At 41.9% G+C, this 27,464-nt stretch overlaps 1 long non-coding RNA gene across 2 annotated transcripts in view; it reads right to left on the bottom strand.

The window, feature by feature from the left end:
* The window catches only part of LOC105371357 (uncharacterized), a 117,137-nt gene extending 95,211 nt beyond the window's left edge, over positions 1-21,926 (bottom strand). The window contains exons 1-2 of one of the 2 annotated variants that reach the window (XR_001752272.2): positions 21,633-21,926; positions 3,764-3,932 (exon numbers count right to left, since the gene is read on the bottom strand). This is a non-coding gene — a long non-coding RNA (uncharacterized LOC105371357). Of the gene's footprint in view, positions 1-3,763; positions 3,933-7,205; positions 7,429-21,632 lie in introns of those variants that run through there. The other variant, XR_933774.3, reaches the window with a different exon arrangement.

Raw genomic sequence — 27,464 nt, 5'->3', positions numbered from 1 at the left:
TACTGAATGGAATACTTGAGAAAAAAACAGTATCAACGTCCACTGCATCCCACTACTCTCCATCAAATTCGAATGGTCTGATGTGGGATTCAGATGTAGATTTGTTTTTAAGCCACCGCAATGGAGAATAATCAGGATTCGGGGGCTGGGGTGCAGGTTGGTCGGGAGGGAAAAACTCTTGCTTATCTGGCAGGGAAACATAGAGATGTGTTTCTATACGGATTCTAAACTAATATCTTCCTTTTGGGAAAAAAAGCATCTCCTATGTGATTTTTTTTCCTCAAATATATTCTTCAACAGAGAAATATTCATTTCCCTCCTGGATTAATTGCGGTCCTGTTGCTGACGGTTTTTGCATTAAATTTAGCTGCTGCTTGCTGTGGGTAAAGGCAATCTGATGGGGAATGCGCACAGAGGGGCAGCTGCAATTCGTAGGGAAATTATTACCATTTCAGATGTCACTCAGCCTGATGCATGATTAAGGGGAACGTGAGGCACCTCCTGTCTAGGCAGTGGGCTGATACAAAAGCGGAAATCTGTTCTCCCAAACTGGTGTACTGCATTGTCATAACCAATGCCTGTCACCCCCAAAGCTGCCTTCCCCAACACACTCAGAATCCTGAAGCATTTAGCTTCAATTACAAATGTCACTTGTCATTTCTGGGATACTGACTATATTAATAAAACTTTTTCTTTCCCTTTTTGTAGAATTTGATTAAAGTGTCTTCTGGATAAATAACATTTATCTGTTTTTCTTCATTCCCATGTTGTGTACACGAAACGGCACGAAGGAGAAACACCTGAACTTTCAAGTCCCTGCAGTGGGCAGATGCAGCGTCTTATTAAGTACTCCAGAGGCTCTGTAACATCCTAAGGGATTTTTGCTTAACTTGTTACACAGAACCGTGCAACCAGAGGGCTCCTTGTGCACATGGAGACACAGTGAACCCTTGGGAGGGGAAGGAATGGGTCTGCAGAAAGAACACTCTTATGGAGGGAGCGGGGAAGGCTGGGCTCACGTGAGAAGAGAGCATGTGGCTGAGTGAGGCAGAGATCAAAGGTGACTGGCAGAGGGGTGTTTTCTTGCAGGGCTGGAGTGTCATGTGCTGACATAGCAAATCTGTGGTTCCAATCAAGGGGGTCCGAGGGCCAATGGCTTTTACCAATGGCAGCAGAGCTCATGGTAAGATAGGGGTTCTAGGTTTAGACAGAACTTGGATAGAGTCCCAGCTCTGCCCTGGAGCACCCTGGTTCATGAGTGATGATTGTGGTCCTCAGTCTTCCACAGGATGATGAGTATTGAAGGAGGTAACATCCGGGTACAAAGAAATTAATAATGTTGTTGCCTATTAGTACTGCTCAGGGTGACCCTCACAACACATGGCAAACAGTGAGAATGGTCACCACCATGAGCACAGCTCTGAAGAAAAGTTTTGGATGCTCCCTGCTGGGCCAGCTCTTAACTCTTTAGTTGATGGACTGCCTATCTGGCAGAAGCCATATCAGCAGAGGGGTGGGACACAGGGACCCCTTTCATCTGCACAGAAGTCTTTAAGTATTTTAGCAAGGGGAACAACTGTGTTGGTCCTAACAGGCTGAATATCAGCCTTGGTACTGTGGATTGTTAACTGAGTGACCTACTTTGTAACAGCCCTCTCAGAATGAATAAGATACCTCTGGAGGGCTATAATCCCGGGGGTCTCAGAGTGTAATCTTAGATCCAGCCAGGGGTTCCTGGTGAGACCCTCTGGGTGATTCACACATGCTAAGCACCTTCTGTGTACTAAGCACCACGTTACACACAAAGTGACAAAAGAAGGCAGAAAATGCCACAGCCCCCAGTGAGCTCAAGGTCAAGTAAAAGACAGGCAAGAAAACAGGGAATTGCAAGGTGGAACATCCAGTAAATCAAGAGCATGCAGATGACAAGAGGCGTGGATTCTGCCAGCAGGACTTAGAAACAGCTTCAAAGACAGTTGAGCTTTTTAAAAAATATATTAAATTTTAATTACACCAATTACACCAATTAAATGTCACTGGTTAAAAAAAAATTAAAAGTATATGGATAAACCTAAAGACCCCCACCAGGACTACAATCCCCAACCCCATAGGTAACACAGTTATTAGTCTGATGTGAATCTTTGAGTCTATTGTTTTAAAAAATCGTAATGGTATGTTGTGTGTGTGCGTGTGTGTGAATATTTACATAATCATATCATTATTGTATCTATCAGCATTGAACTTGCATTTTGTTTTTCGCCAATATGCCCAGAGGCTCTCCAGGTGAGTATAATGAATTGCCTGTCTTCTCATCTCCTGCAGAGTAGTTCATTGACAGTGGGTCCATAATTTGTATAGCTGTTCTATTGATGACATTTATATAATTTTGATTGTTCATATTATAAACAGCACTACAGTAAACATCTTGCTCCTGTCTTCTTGTAAATAAGTGTTCAATGCATGAGATATATGAGTATGCATTTGTTGAGTCATTAAATATACAATAACTTTCCTCCTTACCTCCACCCCAAGTAACTGTTTATACACGTATCTTTTCACCAGTTGACTATAGTAATACCAGTGTTTCCATACCCTTGCCAACACATATTATCATTTTCCCCATCTCACAGGTGAAAAAATTTAATGATTTTTTAATAGAACGCATGGGCCTTATATTTTAATTGGTCTTCTCCTGAGTGTATAATGTACACCAGCCATTTATATTTCTTTGGGTTTAGATTTAGAAAAAGATTAAGACTCTACGAGGCAGATAGGTTGCCAGGTAAGAGAAAGCAATGAGGGCAAAAGTAACAAGTGCTTTCAGAGGTCTATAGGTTTGGGGAATGTGTTGTGGGTGAAATATTGGGTACAAAGGGAGAAGGATGTGAATGAGGGAGTGGTGAAACCAGCATTGTAGGGTTCTGGACCACACTAAAGGATCTGCCTCCCATCCTATTGCCAAAGAAGACACATCTGGCATTCTCAGGTTTTAGAGGTTCAAGATGAAGTTTGCACTTCAGAAACATGCCTTTAGCCACCTTGCAGAAGAAAGACTGAATACAAAGCAGTAGCAGAGGGGACAGAGAGACCCAGGACTTATTTCTAAGGTGGAAGTGACAAGGCTTGATAGACTTTTCAAGTATACAGTTTGAAAATGATGGTGTACTGGACAGGCCTTATGCAACTCCTCAGAACTCATTTTCTTTAGTCTTACAGCTGGATGCAGACTAAAATGATAGATAGGTGCAAATAGAAAGGTGCTATTCAAAGTGTGGTTCGTGAACCAGCAATATCAGCATCACTTGGGAACTTTTTAAAATGCAAATTTATTGCTCTACCCCACATCTACTGAATTGGAATTTCTGGTGGTGGGTCGCTTCCAGGTGACTACTTTGCACACTTAAGTTTAGAATCATAGAGGTCCAAGAGTCTTATCCAAGATTCCACATGAGAGGAGTCTGAATCCCTGAGTCACCACCTGGAGGAGAGCCACTCAGGAGAGCCAGCTAAACAGGATCTCTTGCATAAAATTCAGACAAAAACAAAATGTTTGTCTGGTTAAGCCATTGAGATATCTTCTATTTGTTAAAGCAGTTAGACGGGTCTACAATGACCAATACACAGTTCATTTAAATGAAGGTCCAGATTTCTGCTCTCCTAGCAGACATTTTTAAATCCCCACTCTGAGAGGAGAATATGTTTATAATCAATGGCCAGATTTGCATCTTACATGCAGCCACTAGGGAGTAAAACTAGGACTTACGTTTTCAGTCTCTGTGGAGTGAGGAGAGGACCAGGAGACCAATTCCGCTGGCTCATTAAAGGTCTTGAGTGCTGATGACATACTTTTAAAGATGATTCTTTTTCCTAGCTTGGGTCTGACACTCTAGATGCAGAAGTGGCCCAAGTGATTTCTCCACTGGGAGAAAGACCTGAAGAATAAAAACAGGGAAAAAATATTTCTTCTCAAATTCCTGCTTCTCATCCACCACCTTTATCACCTTTAACCTCAGTTCTCCTTGAAGAACAAACACCTGCATCACAACTCACCTTCCACCGAGTATCCTGTATTCCTTTTTCCAGAAAGAGAAAAGAAAAATAACAGCAAACGCTTTGTGTGCTTGCATCGCGCTGTTCCTAGTGTCTCTGTAGGTCACTAGGTTGAGAAAGATTCTGAAGCTCCCTTGTAACGCAGTGGGTGATATGGTTAGGCTTTGTGTTCCCACCCACATCACATCTTGAATTGTAATCCCTTGGTATTGAGGGAGACACCTGGTGGGAGGTGATTGGATTATGGGGGGCAGTTTCTCTCATGTTGTTCTCGTGATAGTGAGGGAATTCTCATGACATCTGATGGTTTTATAGATGGTAGTTTTTCCTGTGCTCACATATGCTCTCTCACCTGCCACCACGTAAGATGTGCCTGCGTCCCCTTTTGTCATGATTGTGTTTTCTAAGACCTCCCCAGCTATGTGGAATTATGAGTCAATCAAACCTCTTTTCTTTATAAATTACCCAGTTGCAGGCAGTTCCTCATAGCAGTGTAAAAATGGACCAATACAGTGGGAGAAGATGCCAATGAATTGTTTCTCATCACAACATACTCCAACCCTGTGCTGGTGAATGCCTTGTTATTTCTGCGAACCTTCTCCTCTGACTCCGCACACTTTCTGCTCTGCCTACATAGTGAAAATTCACTCGGGGGTCTTGAGATTTCCTCTGTGGCTCCTTCAGTGTTGAATCCAGGAGCCTGTCTCTTATATGAATTTCTCACTGGCCTCTCAGAAGGTTGGTGACTTGGGAAGAAATGACACCTTATGCCTTCTATGCACCTCAAGCAGCAGTTCTGGGTTGAAGAGCATCTTTGGATATTGGTGCTGGAATAGGCATGTGTGGTGAGGCCACTCAACCCAATGCCTGTATCCCAGGAGCCAGTCAACCACAGCTGGTTTCCCAAATGTGGCCTACCACCTGTTTTTGTACAGCTCACAAGAATGCTTTCTACATTTAAAAAATAGGAGAACAATTAAAATAACAATATCTAGTGATACATGAGAAGTATTTAGTTAAACACGTAATAAAAAATTATATAAAGTTCAAATTTCAGCGTCTGTAAATGCATTTTACTCATGCACAGCCATGCTCCCTTGTTTATATGGCTGTGGCAGCTTTTCTGTTCCAATGGCAGGGTTGGCCAGTTGAGGTGAAGACTGGGTTGACCTGCAAAGTCTAAAATGTTTCGTATCTGACTTTTTGCAGAAAACTTGTGTCAATCTCTGCTCTATCAAGTTGGGAAACTGGGGGCTTATGGGAACCCTTTCCCATACTGTCAAATAGATTTCCTGGATTGACACATCCTTGGTGTGGCTACTTATTAAATTATTGGGCAGGTTAGGGTAGTTTTGAGGGCTTTCAAATTTGAAAACTGGGTTTTGGGTGGGGTGGTGAGTTGGTCAGATGTCTAACCTAAAGCTCCTGAAACCCACACAGGTGTGAAAGTACATGTTCTGTTGGTGGTGGATTTCACCTTGGGGAGAAGAGCAGAGGGAAGCTTTAATGGAGAGGTCTCTGCTTTTGCAGGTGCCATGTTTTTTAATAAGGGTGTGGGCTGATGAGGCCCAACTCCATCTCAGAGGCATCATGGGAAGGGTGTGGAATCCATCAGACATCAAACAAATGGCTTTGGGTGAGAGCATCTTACAACTGGCACATGCATAATTGCGGGGTTCACCATTCCCGATGGGAGCTCGGAAAATCAAGATGCAGTTCCGAATGGCATTTCCAACCATCCCTGGAAATGGGGGGAAATCAGTTTTATTTATTAATTCCATCTTGCTGGCAACCAATTTGGTGTGAACAGTTATGTTTTTCAGCATGTTTCCACCTTGCAACTCGCAGAGTTAATTTAATGAAATGACTAGTCTTGTGATGACCTGAAGGGGGAAAACACATTAATCTGGAAACTATCAAAGCCGTCTGACATGTATTATTGTAGGACTCAGAAAAAATAAACAGTTTATGTAGAAGATTAAGTGGCAGTGTGGATTTGCTTTTGACATATCTTGTCTCCAAATCTAAGTTGGGAATTTATTATCACGCCATCATGTCACAGCTATCTCATTTATATGATAACACATCTGTAATGTTTTACAAGTGCAGCAGTACTTGTTCAAAATGGGGCTTTTTTAAGTCCTAAATTATAGTACCTGGAGAGGCATGCATAATTATAGTGCGTGTTAGCAAATGAGAGGGTGCATTTTCCACCCGCACTCAGCATTAATCGTCAGCACAGTGGGTGCAATAAAATCATAATTGCTTCTTCCAAACTTCTCATCTGAGCTGCACAGGTTGAAGGCGGTGGTTTGGTGGGGAGATGCCAACACCGTGGTGGGTGGAGGCTTCACTCTCATCTTTCCAGAGAGTCCCTGGATTGTGTGGCTGGAATTAGCTGTGAGTTCAGACAGAGAGCCACACCCCACTGGAGCTACACATTCAGGTTCCCTAATCTTAAGAATATTCTCAAATCAGCACAGGAGAAAAGAGTACAGAATGGTGATTATGGACCCTGTTTTCTGGATGCAGGTTTGGATTCCAGCTCTGCTCTTCAATTTTAGATAAATTATCTCCTTATCTGAATAGCTGTTTTCTCATCTGCAAATGAAAGATGGTAGCTCCTAGCTGAAAGTGTTCTTAAAGCAATTAACAATGCTTATAAAGCACAAAATATACCTGCAATAAGTGGTGGATGTAATTACAACTCTCCTTTTGAACATCATTGTCTAACCTGTGCTGTCCAATAGGGCCATCACTGGCCACATGCGGCTAGAGAGCACTTGAAATGTGGACAGTCTCAATTGAAAAAAGCTGTAAATACAAAACACCTACTGAGTTTTGCGGGTTTAATGTCGGAAAAGAATGTAAAATAACTCAATAATTTTTTCTGTTGGTTACATTTTGAAGCAGTAATATTTTGGCAATATTGGCTTAATTATATTAAAATAAACATTACCTATTTCTACTTTAATTTTTTTATTTGTGGCCACTAAAACATTTAAAATGATGTAAAAACCTCACATTTTATTTTTATTAGATAGTGCTGGTCTAAACAAATGAACACTGGCCAAAACATTATGTGAGTATTTGATTAGAGTTGCAACTCATGTTTCTTTTTATTATTATTAATATCATAATTGATTTACTCTTACCTTACTCTGGAAAAAAAAATATTGCAGATACATTTGTAGAGAAAATAGAGAAGAGCTAATGATTGCTGTGAGCCACCTAATTTAACTGCTAGCTCCCTGGCAGCTAAGGCAAAGAAAGAAAATGTGGATCATATGGATGTCTTTTTAGAAGGCATAGGATTCATTTGGAAAGCACAGCTTTCTCCTAGCACTGAATTCTCAACAGGCTATTTCCTGGAGCAATCCTGAAATTGCATATACACCTGCACCTTTCCATCCTCTCCAAACAAGGCTTTTATGAAGTCAGAATGCTGTGAGTCATGCAAAGTCAGTGATGATAAATACACGCCCCTTCATTTATGTAAAGTATCTCATTTGATCCTCAAAGCAGCCCTGCAGGATGGGCCGTGCAAGGACTATTGTTTCTTTCTTATGTATGACAAATCTGAAGATCGGGGGGATGTCAGGGACTTGCTCAAGTTTTTGTAGCCAGTAAGTAGCAAGGCCAAGACTCAAACCCTCATTGTCCAAAGTGGAAACTCCCTATGCTTTTGGCAATCTTGTACACGTTAGCGTGAAAGACACTCATGAGAGAAGGCAGAGAGCATCAGGCCCCTTGCCAATAAAGGGGACACAAAGGCAACTAGGAGGCTGATAGCTCCAGAGACGAAACTCTGTTTAACCAAATAGAAGGAATAGATACTTCAACGCACATTCCACAATTGACACGCCTAACTCAAAATATGTCCTATCTGGGTCTCCAGGGATGACTGGTCTTCAGGCATATTAGCTCGCTTACCTCTAAGAGTAGTTCTCCTAGAAACCTAATGCACATGTCAGTCACCTGGGACCTTGTCACAATGCAGGTTTTCAGTGAGAGGCATGCGGAGGGCCTGGGTGCTATCATTTCTCCCAGCTCCCAGGTAATGCCTAGTCTGTTGGTCTGAGGTTTGAGTAGTGAGGTCTACTACATTTGTTCTCTGTTTTTCTCCCAAACTGCCTCAACCATAGACTTTTATACAAACAGGAAGGTACTGATTCTCAAACTTGGCTATACACGGAAACCTCCCTAGGGGCTTTTCACCAACACTGATGCCTGAGACCTACCCTAGACCAATTAAATCACAGTGTCTGGAAGTGGGGCTCTGAGGTTGGTAAATTTTCACCTCTCCCCGGGTATTCTAATATGCGTCTGTGCTAGAAGCTTAACGTTTGAGACTGACGGGATCATACAGCTTATTTTCCTCTGCGTAAGAACTACCTGAGACTATCCGAAATGACACATCCTGGTCATTCATTCTTAAATTAAACTATTGAGGTCAGTGGTGTGCAAGGCACTAGATGCAGCCTGGAAGGTCCAGGCCTTCTTCTCAGTGTGTTTATTCTACTGGGTTAAATTGCTGCTGCAGGTATTTCTGAGAAGAGCAACAGGACCATTTTAGATAGTAAGTGCCGTGAGATAAATATAATGGAAATGGGATAGATTCATTGGTGGAGGTTGATGGTGGGGATTTAGATGGGGTAACCAACTTTCAGGGAGAGTTGAGAGAGAAGGGAATGATCCCATTGAAAAAAGGGGGGAAGGAGATTTTGGTAGAAGGAACCCCCAAGCTCACAGGTGGAGCCAGCTAGAAGGAGACCAAAATTGGGAACTCAGCTGTTTTCAACCCAGGCCAGCAGCTTTTAGAAACACTGGTAGAGAATTGTAAAAATCTAGATTCCCATGTCCCACCTTCATTTCAGTTCACCAGAATTCACAGAGTAGGGGCTGGGTATCGTCATGTAGATGTTAAAATCAACTTGGGTGATTCTGATTTAGCCTCTAGACTAAGGAGCCCCAATGTAGACACTAAAAAGCACAAACTTGAGCCAGAAATCAAAGGTGTGTTGACAGCCCTTCCCTTCAATAAGCGAATAGCTCACCCATCTTCGTTGAACTACAGACAGAGTAGTGTAAACAGCCTCTAGAATTCCCACATCACTTCCTTTCTTTTCCTTTTCAATAAACAGCTGGTGAATATGACATTAATTTAACTGTAATGACTGCTTTTAATTTTCATTTTAAATCTATAGTTACTATATATTGGGTTGCTGGCTGGTGCCAACTGCCCTGGCCACATGTCTGGTTTTCATTTAGTCTGAGTTCCTTTAGGGTAGTCGTCTTCAGAGGCCTGGTTTAATGCATAACCCTAATTGCAATGTGGAATTAAGCTGCTGCTGACTGTAGCATTTTCAGTTTCAAAATCAAGAAAAGTATCTCCTACGAGGGGGAAAGAAAGGCCTGTCAGGGTTCCACTCCCTCACCAGGGCCTTATCTTTGTACATTTTTTACTTTCAACGTTTTTTTAATTGAGTGCATAATATTGCTATAAAATAGCCGTTTAGATAATGTGGTCAGCCTGCTGGCTTATGGATGTGTCTTCTCGGTTTCAAAATGTCCCCTTCTCCTCCTCCTACTCTGACATGGGCCTGGTTTCCCATTAAAAATGCTGGCAGCTTGAAAGTGAGGACGGAAATGCAGGCTGAGCTCCTTCTCCCAAGTTATGCTTGGTACTGAGTCTTTCCTGGAGCCCTCACAGTCTTGGAGGGAAGTGAAGTTGTCAGCTGATAATCATTTCCAACAATTGTTGGCCAGAGAGCCACTAAGTAAAGGATTAAATGTCATATTTTCATATTAAATATATAAGAAAAAAAGAAGGATTTTCTCCAAGATGGTAAATACCTTTCAGTGAACCAAGATAGGGACATGAGGTTGAAAATTTGCCCATGTTCTATTCTAGTTCATGGAAAAATATGGATAAAAGGAGGTCCCCGATGGAGGTTGAGCAGTGGATGGAAAGGCAGCTAAGCTGGACATGGTTATGTGGGGTGGGGAGGGGAAAGACAAACCAGAGGCCGTCTCCACGCCCAGCCCTCTGCGGGATGCCTAATCCTCACTGCATAAATATTTGCTGAATGAAAGTCAGTTGTTAACATAGATATGTTGATTTTCTTTCCAAATAGTTTCTGTTGGCTCCCTCTTTGATTTGTTTTTTCTTGCACAGATTCAACGTGCTATTGAGTAGTTGCTGTCCTGGGTTTTGGGGGCCATGGGAGCCCTGCAGACAGCACATGAACCAGGCAGCCCTGTCCACACCCCTCGTGGGCCTCCCAGTGTGGCGATAAAGAAGGAAGAGGCTGGGCACGGTGGCTCATACCTGTAATTCCAGCACTTTGGGAGGCCGAAGACGGTGGATCACGAGGTCAGAGATTCGAGACCAGCCTGGCCAGCATGGTGAAACCCTGTCTGTACTAAGAATACAAAAAATTAGCCAGGTGTCGTGGCGCATACCTGTAACCCCAGCTACTCGGGAGGCTGAAGCAGGAGAATTGCTTGAACCCAGGAGGCGGAGGTTACAGTGAATCAAAATTGCGCCACTACACTCCAGCCTGGGTAACAAAGTGAGACTCAAAATAAATAAATAAATAAATAAAAAGGAGGAGGAAAGCATTCAATGAGCAGTACATGTCATGAGTGGTTTTGTAAGGAGTGAGTGATGCTGTGGGCACCAGCATGTGTCTGATCCAGACTGAAGGGGACAGAAAGGCTGACATTTACTCAGAAGTCTTTGAATCTGAGAACCCTAGGGTGGGTGAGACTTGATCTTTGATCAGGGACCCTTTGTTTCTCACTGGAGCTACACAAGCAGCCACCCAACTGCTCAATTTGCCAGTCAAGGGTGATTCTCCCTACTCTGTGGCCATCATTGCTTTACATTAAGTCCACCCCTGGTTGCTCCACCTGACAGACTTCTTTGTCAGGCTGTGCTGTGCCCCTGGGATATTAGGGATGCACACTGGCCATCAGGGTCACGTATTACAACTCCATCGCTCCCGGGCACCCTACGGCTCCTATTTTCCCAGGACTTTCTGCTCCTTCCAAGTTCCCCCAGTGCCTCCCTGAATGCCCTTGCATGAAGACTTCTCCTCCTAGTCTTCCCAGCTCCTCCTTGGCCTCCCTGTTCCTCCCTCTCCAATAATTTCCAATATTATGACTCCATCCTATTGCACCATCCTCTTTTCTTCAATTCCTTCTTGTCATTCTTCCCCAATACTCTCCCCAGGACACCCATCCCTTCTAGTTCTCTTAGCTGCTCCCATTTGCCTTAGCCCCCCATGACTTCTCAGAGACTGTCAATGTTACATAATTGCTCATTGAAAATAAAAGTGTTATGTTCACATAAAAATGAGTAAACTATAAAGCAAAGTATGAATTAAGGTTATTTTTGTTTTTGTTGTATTACATTGATGAATGCCAGAAACCAACTTGAGCCTTTTAGGCAAAACAAAGTAAATTTATTTGAAGGATCAGGGTTACCTCCTGATACCCAAAGAAGGCTTAAGTTTGGACTTCATATTTTAGGCAATGGGAAAATCACCCAAGATTTATAAGCAGAATGGTGTGATCAGATGTGGGCTTAGAAAGACCATCTGGGCCGGGCGCGGTGGCTCACGCCTGTAATCCCAGCACTTTGGGAGGCTGAGGCGGGTGGATCATGAGGTCAGGAGATCGAGACCATCCTGGCTAACAAGGTGAAACCCCGTCTCTACTAAAAATACAAAAAATTAGCCGGGCGCGGTGGCGGGCGCCTGTAGTCCCAGCTACTCGGGAGGCTGAGGCAGGAGAATGACATGAACCCGGGAAGCGGAGCTTGCAGTGAGCCGAGATTGCGCCACTGCAGTCCGCAGTCCGGCCTGGGCGACAGAGCGAGACTCCGTCTCAAAAAAAAAAAAAACAAAAAAAACAAAAAAACAAAAAACAGAAAGACCATCTGGCTCCATTGTGAGCCTGGGTTAGGAGGCACCAGATAACAGGAAGGAGGGAGTCAGGAGCCTCTTGTCCAAGTGACAGAGTGATGGGGACTTGAGCTATGGAATTTACATTGGCACCAGGGGCAGGTGGATGCAAGAGAGACTGAAGAAGTCTTCGATGAGACATGAAAGGAGGGGTAAGAAGTTAGTCAGGAGGACACCATGGATTCTGGCTTGGACCACAAGGTGGAGGATGGATCATGGATGGAAATAGCAGGTTTTTAGAGAAAACTGATGAGTATTATATTGTTTGACACACAATGAGCTTGCAAGGCCTAGGAACTAGAGAGGAAAGAATCCTTCAAGTCACTGGCATCTTATAATAAGGATGTCACTTGTCAGGGAGGATTGTCCTTATGAAGTCAAACTCAAAACTCCTTTGTTAACCTCGTGTGTCCAGCCATGTGGTACCTGCCATGAAGAACACCAAAGACGAAAGGGCCTAGCCCCTGCCAAAACCATCAGAAGTGGTTGACCAACACAGATTTGACTTGGCATCCTGCTTGGGGACATGAGTTGGAGGTTGATGTAAGATCATCATATGGGGAACTCCCTTCTGGTGCAATTGAGATCACTGAAGATGACCTTGAGTCTATGACAGTTTCTTTTCATGTAGACCCATGGAAGAAATGTCTCTCTGACCTCAATATCCGGAAATTCTGTGCTTTTCCTAGTTTGATATATCTTATGAGCAATGCAAACTTTGTAACTGAAGATGTATGCTTGCCTTGAAAGCTAGCTACCTCTGAGTCACATTTGCACTCCACTTCTAGAATTTGCACAGGATGATAGAATTCACAGTTTCTATGCTAATATTACCCTGATCTTATTTCTCTACTCTTATTTTCTCATTCGAACCAATTCCTTCTTTTTATTTTTTGTGTGTTTATTTTTCAAAACCATCTCAAGTCCACCAGGCAATAAAAGAAACAAGGGAGAGAGGAAGGAACTTTCTTTTCTGTTAAGAAGAACTAGTTTAGTCTACAAGCAAATTTAGTGTAAGTGAAATAATTTGAAAAAATACAAAGCAACTTAAAGTGGGACAGTGTAATCAGAGTTGAAAGAAAGGAGAAATTGTGGGGGGAATGCTGAGCTTTTTTAAAAGTAGGGTTTTCATTGGGGGATGACTCTAAATAGTTGAGTTTTTTTTTTAAAAAGAAAGCAGAGCAGGAGCAAGTCTTTTGAGTTTCTCCAAATCCTGGACATCTGACACCGAGCCAATGCTTATATTAGCTAAAAAGGCTTGGCCCCTGTTCAGTCTGATCAAAAATGAATTAAGTGGATGCTTATAAACGGGGTTTAAAAGAGGACACACACACCACACACACAGACACACACACATCCCACGAGTAAAAATAATAATTATAGGCTTTTAATAGATGCTAATTTAGTGATAACAACTTTACATAGTTAGAGTTGTTTATGCCAAGATCTAACAGTAGCTGACTTGGGTTTTTACCCATGAACCACGAAGCCAAGTGGCATGTTCACTTGCTATCTCATGGCGCTCCACTCCTCCACGTCCACCACACCCATCTAACAACTCCAACCAGTTGCTTTGCTGTTGGCTTGATGCAGGCTTGGCTCAGGTGAACCCCCGTTGCTGGGACCTGACCTGCATTGCTAAGCGTCACCTCCCAGTCTTTCACTATTCACCGGGTTGTGTTTTTTACTTGTCTGCGAAGGGAACATTAAACACCTATGATGAACATTCAGTTAGTTGGGGTCCAGATTTTCCTTTTCTCATTTCCTTCCCTCTGCTAAAACCTTAGCCCATTTTATTTCCAGATAGGTGAAAAAAAATTATCTCTGGAAAGGACCTATTAGAAATAGTTAGGACAAAGGAGGAAGTAAAATTCCAGTCAATGATCCTACTAGAAACTTGAGCAAGGGAAACAGCACTCTGTGCACTGGGCAGCCCCTTGCTTCACCTAAGCTAGAATTGTCCACAACCTATGATTGTGCAGATACAGAGACACACTATTTGAAGGCTTGGGTTTTAGTTCAATGGATCTGTGTCCCAAATCCAGCTTCCTTATTTTCTAATTATGTGACATAAGGCAAGCTCACTTCAAGCTTCTGAGTTCAGTATCCTCGTTTGTAAAAGAATGAGAATGTTTTTAATAACTGCATTGTCGTATTATTATGAAGATTTGATGTCATGGTGAATACAATTAAAGTTCTATGACAGTGCCTGTTACATGGAAGCTCCTCAATTAATCACAGCAAATATTTCTCTATGATGCACCAGATACTCTGCTCAGCAACTTCCGTGGGATGTTTGTTTTATTATTACTTTTATTAGAATCTCCCCCGAGTGAGCTCTAAGAGGAATATCCCAAGGCAACAGTAACTGCTCAATAAATATATGTTAAATGAACGACCAGTTTTATTTAATGCTCAAAAGAACTCCAATAAATTTAGTACTATAAGTATCCTCATTTGTCTGTTGGGGAAACTGACGCACAGATAGTCAAATAACTTGTGCAATACTGTGCATGGCTGGACAACGTCAGCATAAGGATTTAAATGAAGGCCTCCTGGAGCCTCCAGCCTTACCCACTGCAATCTACCAGCTCTGTAAATATTTTTATGGCAGAAGAAGCAATCCCGATGGCCTTCTCCAGTCTTCCTTCCTACTCTGCCAAATGTTGGCGTTCACACTATCCCTGGGGGAAGCCCTTCTCCAGGCCTAGCCATCAATAAGACAGTGCCTGGATTTAGAGCCTGTGGGTGTATGCTGGGGACATAAAACAGCACACGCTACATGAAGTCCTAGGAACGATTCGTTTGACACCAAAGCCATGCAGGGGAGGAAGCTGTGAGCCTATTGGCGGGCCCCGGCTTGCTTCTGCGAGTTGTTTGTGAGACAGTGTCTGGCCTCCATCCATGACATGTTCACCGGAGGCTCTACGCCAAGACTGGAAAGGGGGAAAAAAAAAAAAAAAGCCTCTTCCTGACACTGTGGTCTTGCACCCTTTGGGCTTTGCAAGAGGCTGAGTAGAATGAAGTGCTGAAAAATGCAGGCCGGAGATGGTGAGGGCAGAGGCAGGAAAGAAAGAAAATAAAACAGAGATGGTTTGGGGCTTGTGATCCCCCTGCTGCTACTTTCCCTCTATGCTCAGATCCCTGGCAATCTTTGCTGTTGTTGTTCTCTTTTTCTTTTTCTCTTTCTTGCCTTCTCTCTCCAGCTTTATTTCATTCTTTCTTGCCTATTTTTTACTTTTCGTCTTTCTTTTTCCCTTTCTTGCCTTCATTTTCTTTCTCTTTAAAAATTTTTTTTTCTCTTTTGCTATCTCTCCCCTTCTTTGCTTGTCTCTTTTTGTCTTTCTCTCTGTGTCTCTTTCTCTGTCTCTTTTTCGCCATGTTTCCTTCCCGCTTTTTAAATTTTTTTTTCCCCTTGAAAAATTCAGAACTTTTCTCAAAGTCCTTGCAGTCTAGGGGGACAATTAGAAAAAGAAGAAGACAACTACCGAGAGACTGAGGCCCCCTGTAACAGTGCAGGTTCCAGCAAGAAGCAGCTGTTTGATGATTCTGTCCTGCACAATTGGCTGGAGTCCTCACCTGAGCTTTGCTGTTTATTCTTTGTAAGAGATTGAACATTTAACATGCTTAGACTTACACTTTCCTTTATGTCTTTTCGTGATCCCTTTTCCTTTTGGTACCTGCATTCTAGGTTCATGAAAACGAAGTGAGACCAATTCCTTCACCATCATTCTCTTCCCAAACATAGCAGACATTAGGTGTAACTCATTCAGTTTTATGTCCTGGCCAACCAGTTCTACTCTGAGAGGGAGGCACAAGAATATGGGAGGAAAGTATCCCTGAATACACCATCCATTCACTCACATATTCCCTCCACAAATACGGATTGAGCTCATACTCTCTTCCAGGCATTATTCTAGAAACGGGAGATACAGCAGTGAACAAGGCACAGAAACCCTTGCTCTCAGAGCTTCCGCTGCTCTTACAAAAGAAGCTAAATCTGCATGTGATGGCGAGAGACATATTGGACAGCTGAAAAAGCAGCCTCTTATCTCACTGAGGTTCAAATAGCGAAGGACAATGAGGCTTTCGGTCTGGTGTGCTGGAGAAATGTAGTTTGCTATAATTCAGGGTGGTTGCCTCTAGGTTTGCAAAAAGAGCATTGTCTCGGTTCTCCCCATCTGCAGCCAAACTGTTTTCTGTCTTTTAGCAGGGTCCTGTGTTCTCTTAGTAGCATTAGGAAATGATGCTCCCTAATCAGACAACTGACACTGACTAAGGTCAGCTGAGTTCTTAGCTCCAGGTGACATGCCTGGAATGCACGTTCCCTTTTTTTTTGGGACAGAGTCTCACTCTGTCACCCAGGCTGGAGTGCAGTGGCACCATCTCAGCTCGCAGTAACCTCTACCTCCCAGGTTCAAGTGATTCTCCTGCCTCAACCTCCCGAGTAGCTGGGATTACAGGTGCCCACGACCATGCCTAGCTAATTTTTATATTTTTAATAGACACGGAGGTTTCACCATGTTGGCCAGGCTAGTCTTGAACACCTGACCTCAGGTGATCCACCAGCCTTGGCCTCCCAAAGTGCTGGGATTACCGGCATGAGCCACCGTGCCCAGCCCCTTCCCAGCTCTTATAGTCACCATATGAAAGTGACACTTTAGTTCATTTTACAGATGAAGAAACTGATGACGCTCACAGTTGGAGCCCTTCTCACTGCATTCTCACATTCAGAAGCTTCTAGGGAATGCCCAGTCTTGCTTCATTTTTCTCAAAAAAAAAACCTTGGCTGTCCTGTGACATTCCAGAAATAGCAAGACCTCATATTTTTAAAAGCCAATACATTTTAAAACTTGAATTTATGTTGGAAATACTTGAGGTTCTTGAAAATATATGAAAACCCGGTGCCCTGTTTCCTAGACCTGGAATAGGACCCTGAGTCTGATACAGAGATCTTACTTTGAGACAAGCTGGTATGCAGCCTCATTTGCTCCCCAACTTCACAAGGTACAATTGACAAAGATTGTATATAGTTGGGCTGGGCACAGTGGCTCACTCCTGTAAGCCCAGCACTTTGGGATGCCAAGGCAGGCAGACTGTGTGAGCCCAGGAGTTCTAGACCAGCGTGGGCAAGATGGCAAAACCCTGCGTATAAAAAAAAATTTAAAAATTAGCCTTGGGTGGTGGCACATGCCTGTACTCTCAGCTACTCAGGAGGCTGAGGTGGGAGGATCACTTCAGCCTGGGAAGCTGAGGCTTCAGTGAGTCACGACTGTGCCACTACACTCCAGCCTGGCTGACAAAGTGAAAACCTGTCTCAAAAAAAGTATATAGTTAAGGAGTACAATGTGATGTTTTGATATACCTATATATTAGAAAATGATTATCACAATCAGGGTGAAGCTAATTAACCTATCACCTCACACAGTTACCTCTTTTGGTGTGGTGATGACATTTAAGATCTATTCCCTTAGCAAATTTCAACTCTACAGTACAATATTACTGACAGTTGTAGGAGGTCAGGTCCCTGCATGGCCTTGACTGCCCCAGCTCTCCCTCCTTCTGCTTGCAGTTCACAAAATAACTGTAGAATGTATCGAGAAAATGCAACCTCCTGAGATGTTAAGGAAGTGTCCAGAACAATCCGGTCTTTCTACCTTCCTTTGAGAACAGGGGATTCTGCAATGCTTGAACACAGCAAGCCAAGTGGTACACAGGGTGTAGAACCTGGAGTGAAATGCTTTCAGGGTCCCTCAGCTGCAGTGGGCCCAAGCAGACTAGAGTCCATCTGTCCTGGGCTGCTTTCTTGAACCTTGAGGGAGTGGCTCGCCATTGAGCCTAGGCTCCCGTTTATCTTTCCTGCCTATGTGCTATACCTTTGCTTTTCCTGACTTCTTGTGCAAGTGTTCTGTCTCACCAGACCAGACCTAAGAAGAACTTTTGCAGCCATCGTTACCATGCTGTGCATTAGATCTTCAGGACATATTAATCCTGCCTTGCAAAAACTTTGTTTTCTCATTTTACCCATCCTCAGATCCTGGCAATCACCATTCTATTCTCTGCTTCTATGAGTTCAATTTTCAAAGATTTCACATATAAGTGAGATCATGCAGTATTTATTGTTCTGTGCCTGGCCTATTTCATTTAGCATAATAGCCGGTGAATTGATCCACATTGTTGCAAATGGCAGGTTTTTCTTCTTTTTAATTCCATTGTAGATATATACAAAACATTTTCTTTATCCATTTATCCATTGATAAATGACACTTAGACTGACTTCATATCTTGCCCATTGTGAAGAGGACAGCCTCCACAACAAAGAATTATCTGGCCCTGAATCTCAACAGTGCTGAGGTTGAGAAACTCTGGTTTGTATCAAGGGGAAATCTCTCCAATTTAGGTGTTAGAGAAATATCTCTGGCAATGCTGTGATAGACTGAGAGAGAGTGAGACTGAAGGCTGAGAGGCAAGTGGTAGAAGCCAACTGTGAATATCTGGCAGATCTTTCCTTGATTGAATTAACACAGTTCTGATATTTAAGGCCTTCGTGCAAAGGCGCTGTTTGGATATCAGGGTCTTTTTCATGGAGAAAAAACAGCATTTAGGATAATGATGGTCTGTATTAGTATCTAGAGCCAAGTTACACATCTATCTTTTTGTCAGTTGTTTATTGAATACCTGCACTGTGTTGGGACCCGAAGACACCATGAGAAACAGCTATGGCCTACCTTCATTGAGCTTACAGTCTAGCCTGGTAGGTCAGGGTGATTTTTCCAGTATAGGATCTGTCAGAGCAAATGCATTTGGAGGTACAAGTGATCCACTGAGAAGTGCTGAAATAGCCTGAATTAAAGCTTGAATCTGGGCTGCCAAAAAGAGCCTTTGGCTCAGCACCACATTATTCTAATACTTGGGGTGAATAACGCACCATATCAAAGAGCCCTATCCAATTTAAGAACCATCTTATACTATTGTGCAACCCAGTTATAACTATAAGGTCTCCCAGTAGGATAAAAAGATAGGTAGGTTACCAAGTCTTGATTATATCAAAAGAAGGTAAGACATTGCAGTGGCTGGTAAATTTTTCCTTTGGGGAAAAAACACACACTGGAGCCTGTCAGAGGGCTGGGGAGGGGGAGAGCATCAGGATAAATAGCTGATGGATGCAAGGCTTAATTCCAAGGTGATGGCTTGATAGCTGCAGCAAACCATCATGGCACACATTTACCTATGTAACAAACCTGCATATCCTGCACATGTATTCTGGAACTTAAAATTAAAAAAAAAAACAAGCAAATAAATAAAGTGTTGTCAGCATTCATCAAAAAAAGGCAGGAAAAATAACGACTGTTTCTTATGTACCTACTATGAGTCAAGTACTGAGCTAGTTACTTCACATATAATATCGAATGTAATACCACATAACTAGTACTTACATGTGGCAGATGTCTATTTAATGTTTACACCAGTCCTGTGTGATAGCTGCTACTAGTGGACCATTTTACAAATCAGGACTCTTAAGGAATGTCGTGAAAGAGGTATAAAAAAGAGCTGGGTCCTAGCACTTTGGGAGGCCAAGGCAGGTGGATCACCTGAGGTCAGGAGTTCAAGACCAGCGTGCCCAACATGAAGAAACCCCATCTCTACTAAAAATACAAAAAGTAGCTAGGGGTAGTGGCGGCCATCTGTAATCCCAGCTACTCGGGAGGCTGAGGCAGGAGAATCACTTGAACCTGGGCGGCCAAGTTTACAGTGAGCCGATGTAGTGCCAGTGCACTCCAGCTTGGGCAACAGACAGAGACTCCGTCTCAAAACAAAACAAAAAATGAACAAAAAAGAGCTGGGGACCTGTGGTGTGGGCTGCACGTAGTGACTTCCAAAGAGTACAGTGTTGAAAGAGGGAAAAAGAGTAACTTTACAGAGGAGAAGCATAACAAACACCACCAGTCAGGTGGTCAAATTTAACATCAAGGTTAGTTTATAGCATATACTTCTGATACCATCTAATAAAAATGGCACTTTTCCCTATGGTCTTCCTTCCCAAAATCCATAACTCCAGTCTAGTCATGAGAAAAACATCAGATAAATCCCACTTAAGGGAAATTCGGCAAAATCCCTGATTAGTCCTTCTCAAAACTGCCAAGGTATTCAGAAACAAGGAATATCTAAGAAAATGTCACACCCAGGAGAAGCCTAAGGAGGCGTGACAACTAAATGTAAAGTGAGATCCCAACAGGACCCTGACAGGAAAAAGGGACTCAGGTAAAAGTTAAGGAAATCTGAATTAACTATGGACTTCATTTAATAACATGCCGATGCTGATTCATTAATTCTAACAAATGTATGGGATGAATACAAGATGTTAAAAATAGGGGAAACTGGTTGTGAGGTTTATAAGAACTCTCCGTACTACCTTCATATTTGTTTTCTATAAATTTGAAATTACTCTAAAATTTTAAAAAATTAGATAGAGTTGGAAGCATGGCTTTGTACTTGGATGGAAGAGCCAAAGATAACTTAAGGGAAGAGGTGATGTTTAAGATGGGCCTTGATATAAGAATGACACAATGGACTTTGGGGACTCAGGGGGAAAGGATGGGAAGTGGGTGAGGGGTAAAATACTACAAATTGGGTGCAGTATATACTGCTCAGGTGATGGGTGCACCAAAATCTCAAAATTACCACTAAAGAACTCACTCATGTAACCCAATACCACCTGTTCCCCAAAAACTGATGGAGATTAAAAAAAAATAGGGGTTGATGGGTGCAACAAACCACTATGGCACACGTACACCTATGTAACAAAATTGCACCTTCTGCACGTGTACGCCAGAACTTAAAGTATATAAGAAAAAAGAAATAGGAATAGAAATAACAAGGATAGTCCCACTTCATTTCCTTGGTGAAAAGGAGATAATTAAATCTGATTGTGGTCATCTCTGTTCGGCAATCAGAATAATCCTCTAATCCCCTGATTTAGGTATTTTTCTGAGTGCAGTAGTTATCAACACATCCTAAAGAAATTAAAAGGTCTGTTTCAAATAAAAATTCCTCTGTCAAGAGAACTCTAAATATACTTCTCTTTATGAATTATATTTTTACTATGTTTACAAAAGTGGGCATTTTGTTTCTTTAGAACACCTTTTTATTATACATCTCTTGATGAATAAAATAATGCAATAGCAGGGGTTTCATTTTCAGTAAAGTTGAGAAGTCAAACTATATTTCATAAAGCCTGAAAACATAATTTGTTTTCCATTTAATACCCATATCTGCAAATGTTGACCACTAGAAACACAGGATTCCTTATTACAGTTTTTGTAATTCTAATGCCAAAGGCCAACCAAATCAAGGTCTCGAATATTTGTGCTTAATTTCAACTTTCCTTTAGCTGTTGTATACAATGTTTTCCTTTCTACATAAGTGGAAAGGGTCTAAACTTCTGAAGTCAGCTCTTTTATATTCACAATGAGTTTCAAGCAGGAGAAATAATCTTGGAGAGAATTTACCTACATCTAATTTTAAAGTATGTATTTTAAAATGTATTTGCCAATCTTTATAGGAATAGGGCAGTGCAGAGAGGAACAAGCTTCATAGAAAATCACAACTTACCAAGCCTGTTAATGAAGACCGGCTTCAGGAAAAGATACCTTGCTGATATGCAGGGTCGTTTCTTCTCGAGGGCAACAGATCTTTCACATTGCGTCCCCCTTTTGCCACAACATATTGTTTTGCACATAGTAGACACTCAACGAATTTGTTTTTAATTGAATTTAACTCTTTCCTCAAAGTTCACGTTTATACCCAAAAGTAAACTAACAGCAGAAGTTGTTGTCCCTCTCAGACAACCTTGTGGGTTGATATGCTCACCTCCCAACTGCTGAAATTGCTCTAGCTAACAGCTTATACCTGTGACCATCGCTAGAGCACTGTCTCAGCTGGAGATGCCTGGAAGAATCAGATCACGGTTATCGCCGTGCCACGCCTACCTCTGAGGATGGCCAATGATTGGCTAACACAGAGCACAGAGCAGGTTTTTCTTGCCTTGAGACAGGACAGCTCCAGGTGGAACCACTTATACTCCAGAGCCCTCCACGTGAAATCAGGCCAAGCCTGAATGTTTTCCAAGACCATATTATCGCTCAACTCCTCCTTTTTGCCAATTCTGCTTCCTTCGCTCCCTTTCAGATTTTTCCTGAGGAGCGTTTCCTCATTAACTAACATATACCCCAATCCCTGCCTCAGGTTCTTCTTTTAAGGAATATAATCTAAAACGCACACTCTCTCCCCTACCCCCCCAAAAAAATAATTTAAAAAAAATGGGCCTTGAAGTGTGGGTGATATTAAACGAGCTAAGATAGGTAAGGAGAAGCATATGGATATGCGTGGGATTGGAAATATTCAGCTAGTGCATGGAGACGGGGTAAAAATCAGGATCAAACTGAATAGCTCTAAATGATCTTAAAAAACGTTCATAGTTTACAGGGGGAAAAGTAGGGTTATAGAAAATAAAGGTAGACTACTGTGTGACTGGGATATATTCAATTGCAAGTGAGAAGACTGGAGTGGTTCATTGACTCCACGACATCATCAAAGACTCAGTCTTGATTTCAAGTCTCTGCTCTGCCATCCATCTACTACTATTGGCTTTTCCTTCAGGTATTTACCTCATGGTTACAAGACAGCTGCCATAGCTCTGGGCATCACCTCCTTACTGCAAAGGCAGAAAAGGGGTAAGGAAAAAAGTCTAATTTTATCAGGAAGACCAAAACCTCCCCAGAAGTTCCCCAGAAGACTTTATTATATCACACTGGCAAGAATAAGAACCTATGGCCACCCTGGACTACAAAAGAAAGCTAGTTTTTAACAAAGGGTAATCGGATTATGTTCTGGGCTTGGATGACTCACCATTTGTCTCCTGCAATTGGGCACATTGCTACTTAAGAAAATAGCAGAAGTTCTGTTAGCAAAAGAAAAGGAGAAATGGCTCTTTAGTAGGCATCTAACTAAAAGTATCATAGATACAACACTACATGTATGTGACTAGGTTTTATTTTTATAGCATATAAAACATACGTATTGTGTATTATATACTATATATTATATATAATGTTATTAGGGCCAGGTGCAGTGGGTCACGCCTATAATCCCAGCACTTTGGCAGGCTGACGCAGGTGGATCGCTTGAGGTCAGGAGTTAGGGACCAGCTTGGACAACATGGTGAATCCCCGTCTCTACAAAAAATACAAAAATTAACTGGGCATGATGGTGCATGTCTGTGGTCCCAGCTACTCAGGAGCTGAGGCAGGAGGATCGCTTGAGACCAGGAGGCAGTGGTTGCAGTGAGCCAAGATGGTACCACTGCACTCCAGCCTGGGCAACAGAGTGAGACTGCCTCAAAAAATATGTATTATTAGTATATATACAGTATATATGTGTTTAGACAGAAGGAAAAGAGAGAGTGAGAAACAAAGAAGTGAACCGTGTGGATTTTCCAGTTTTTATCAGTCATATATATTTTATTCTATGATAAATGTTATGAACGAGAAATAATGCTTAACTGTTGAGAATACATTAAAGTGATGGTTAAGACAGTGATCTTTATTTTTTCAGTTTTTATAATTTCCTGTTATGAGTCTCTGTCTTTTATCATTTAAATTTAATTTTAGGGAAGAACACAAGGGGTAGTCGCAGGCATGATAGGAGCTGTTGTAAGTGAAAAAGAGAGAACTCAGGTTGATTTCCCATGCTTTGTGAAAAGGAGCTGATCATAATATAAGGAAAATAAGCACCTAAAATAAGATGAGGATGGTAAAGACAGAAAAGAGTAGAGAGGTGTGGGGCGATGTCAGGAAAGGGGAAACTTTTGTTTCAAATGATGTACAGTGTACGAAATCTATATAAAATACCATTCTGAGGAGCCCTGGGTATGTGACCCAGTGAGGTGCTTGATAAGGGACCTTCAACCACCACAAAGACAACATACAGACTTGGGAAGAGAAGTCTAATGGCAGAAGTGGAGTGAGCTCAGGAAAGCTTTCTTTTTTCTTTATTTCTTGCAGGTGTCAGGGAACATGTGGAATCAATATCTATTTTGAACTCATTAATCTTACAACAAGAATTAGTTCCAGAACTTTTTTTTCCATTTCTTACTAGCAGTATGACATTGGGAAACCTACTTGACCTCACTGTATGACACCTCCCTATCTGTAAAGCGGAGATCATGATACTACCATCTTGTATGGTCAGTGAGGCTTAAGTAAGTGAGTTAATTCCCGTAAAGTGCATAGAACAGTACCTGGCAGTTAGCAACCCCTTAATAAATGTTGTTGTTGATGATGATGTTAATAATTGTATTTTTCCTTAAAAATAAGATTCAATTTTTGTGCTTTATTTGCATATCACACAACGTTTGGCAAAATCTTGGAGACATAACAGCAATTCAATAAAAACATATTAACTGTTTAAGTGCTTCACTATTTCTACCGTTTTCAATTACACAACTCACCATGTTGCATGCCTTCTTAATAATTTTCAATTGTTTCAGATCTTCTAAGAGATAAAGCAAGATATAAAACATCTGCTAGAATTACTCCCTACTTCCCCAACTTTATTTTTCTCATCTTTTCTCAGCTGTGTAACTTAGCAAATGCTGATCTTAAAAATAGCCAAGCCCACCATATTGTTTATGTATATTTCGAGTATTAACCTCTGCTGATTTGGTTTCCTCTACCTGAAACATATTTCCACTCCTGTTACACATTTGTTAAACTCCTATTCATTCTTCAAAACCTTTCTTAGACATCATATCCTCTGGGATGTCTCTCTGGGATGCCATTTCTTGCCCAATAGTGTAATATTTACATATTATGTTGTATTTGTACTCTGTATTTATGTCTATTGATGATTTTGTTATTGTAACTTAGGAGATGTCCTTGTCTCCACTGTTTTTTAATTTCTATGTTAAACTTTCATTTTAGGCTCAGAGGTACACATGCAGGTTTTTTATATAGGTCACAGGGGTTTGATGTACAGATTATTTTATCACCCAGATAATCAGCATAGTACTTGATAGGTAGTTTTCTGACTCTCTCCCTCCTCCCACTTTCCACCTTCCAGTGGGCCCCAGTGTCTGTTTTTCCCTTCTTTGTGTTCATGTGTACTCAGTGTTTAGCTCCCACTTATAAGTGAGAACATATGGTATTTGGTTTTCTGTCCCAGTGTTAGTTCGCTGAGGATAATAGCCTCCAGCTTTTTACATGTTGTTGCAAAGGACATGATCTCATTCCTCTTTAACAGAGCAAGATCCTCTTGTCCTTATATGTATATGCTGATGCCACTGTTTTCCATGGTGTATATGTACCACATTTTCTTTGTCCAGTTTACCATTGATAAGCATTTGGGTTGATTCTGTCTTTGCTATTGAGAACAGTGCTGTGATGAACATATGAACGCATGTGTCTTTATGGTAGAATGATTTATATTCTTGTGGGTATATACCCAATAATGGGAGCACTGGATCGAAGGGTAACTGTGTTTTAAGTTCTTTGAAAAACAGCCACGCTGCTTTCTACAGTGGCTGAACTAACTTACATTCCCAGCAGCAATGTATAAGCCTTCCCTTTTCTCTGCAACCTCACCAGCATCTGTTATTTTTTGACTTTTTAATAATAGCCATTCTGACTGGTATAAAATGGTATCTCATTGTGCTTTTCATTTGCATTTCTCTACTGATCAGAGGTGTTGTTGGTCTCCACTTTTAAGCTACATCAACGGTGGGAAGAAAGTATCTTATGCACCATGCTTCTGGCTGCAAAGTTTAGTTTTGAGTATGTCAATAAATGCCTATTAGTTTGTTGAACTGAACCTTTCAGCAGAGACCCCTTACATCTGTAAACTACTGTGTTACCATAAAAACAGCTATTTCTGTTAAACTCTATAGCTGCAAGAGAATCTCACTTGCTAATGATAAAATAATTCTCTTTACAAATGCTCAATGATTCTTCTAGGTTTGGTTCACACAGCTTACCAACTGTGTTCTGCTTCCTTCTTATTCCTTCTGGGTTCAAATGCACAGGGAGCCCACATTTGTCACTGAGTTATTGCTAACAAATAAGACATCAACAAGGTTGTTTCACAACCCACAGGGATTGACTGATCAGAAGAGAGCAAGATCCTCCTGTCCTGATAAGGATATGTTGATGCCACTGTTTTCCAGCTGTGGTCTTATCAGACAATGATAGTTCAGTGAGAGTAAAGCCCTCAGCTTACTTCCCTGTTTCTGGCACCACAGCCAATCTCTGTTGGTTGGTACGAAGATATGTTCGTAGCAACTGGGCTGGGTGAAGCTTTATGTTACTTGAAGGTGGCAATAGCAGACACATCTGAAGAGAGGACCAAGGCTTGGTACCAAAACACATACTCCATTGTCTTCTTATCCAGGGGATCACCAAACAGGAAGGCAAGAGCAAGAAATTCCAGTAACAGGTCAGAAAATGGACTGCATCTTGGTTCAAGACCAGATCTATTATAAAAATAATAATTTCCCTCAGGTTCTTACTGGTTGCTGTATCTAATTGTGGGAAAGGTCATGTGGGAAAAAAATGCAGAGAGCTGGGAGAGACACTGTCCCATGGCACAGCCACCTCTGATTGCCTGGTCTGGTGGGAAGAGAGAATTTCTACGACCACTGACTCTTACTCCAAAGCTGCCTTGTGGTTTTCTTTGCATTGGTTCTTTCAGCACCAGCCTCCGTGTGTTCCCTTGAAAACATTAGCAGTCCTTAGGGGCTCTGTAGAGAGGGGATTAAACAGCATTTAGTCCTTTGTCCATTACCCTATTCTAATGAAATGTGTTATTTGAAAGAATTATTTAAGCCTATGTAAATCAGTCAACGTGAGAAGATAAGGTTGGTGGGGGCAGGCAGAGTTGAGCTGGGTGATAAAAATAGAGTTTTATCTCCATTTGGACTGATTTTGAAAAGGTTTTTAACCATTGCAACTGAATCCCTTTCAGAGCCCTCTCTCTCTCTCTCTCTTTTTTCTGTACCCGAGTTGCTATGAGAACAGGAATCATCTCTTCAGCACAATGACAGCAAGTGTCGCATTTGGGAACGCACCCTGATTTTTCACTGTTTGTTCTTTGCTCTCAACAAGATAAGCTGTTGTTATTTCTTTCTTCTCGAACAAGCACGCCATGATTGCTGAAGTGGTAGGAATAATTGGACCAAATAGTCATGCGATTAATGCAAACAGAGGGAACTCATCTGTTTCGAGTACAGTAAATGCACTTCTGAAGACGCAGAGAGCTTGCTTTCTCTGTTTATTCTTGGGCTGCAGAACAAATGTTGCTGAGTTCACTGCCACAGATTCCTGTGTTTCTTCCATGGGGTGGAGACCTTAAATGAACTGGGTTGAGGAAGAAATCAGCCCTATCTTGGGAGAG

The sequence above is a fragment of the Homo sapiens genome, chromosome 16 (genome assembly GCF_000001405.40).
Source record: "Homo sapiens chromosome 16, GRCh38.p14 Primary Assembly".
Lineage (NCBI taxonomy): Eukaryota > Metazoa > Chordata > Mammalia > Primates > Hominidae > Homo > Homo sapiens.
Note: the sequence above shows the minus strand (reverse complement) of the source record. Positions and strands in the feature narration are given on the sequence as shown.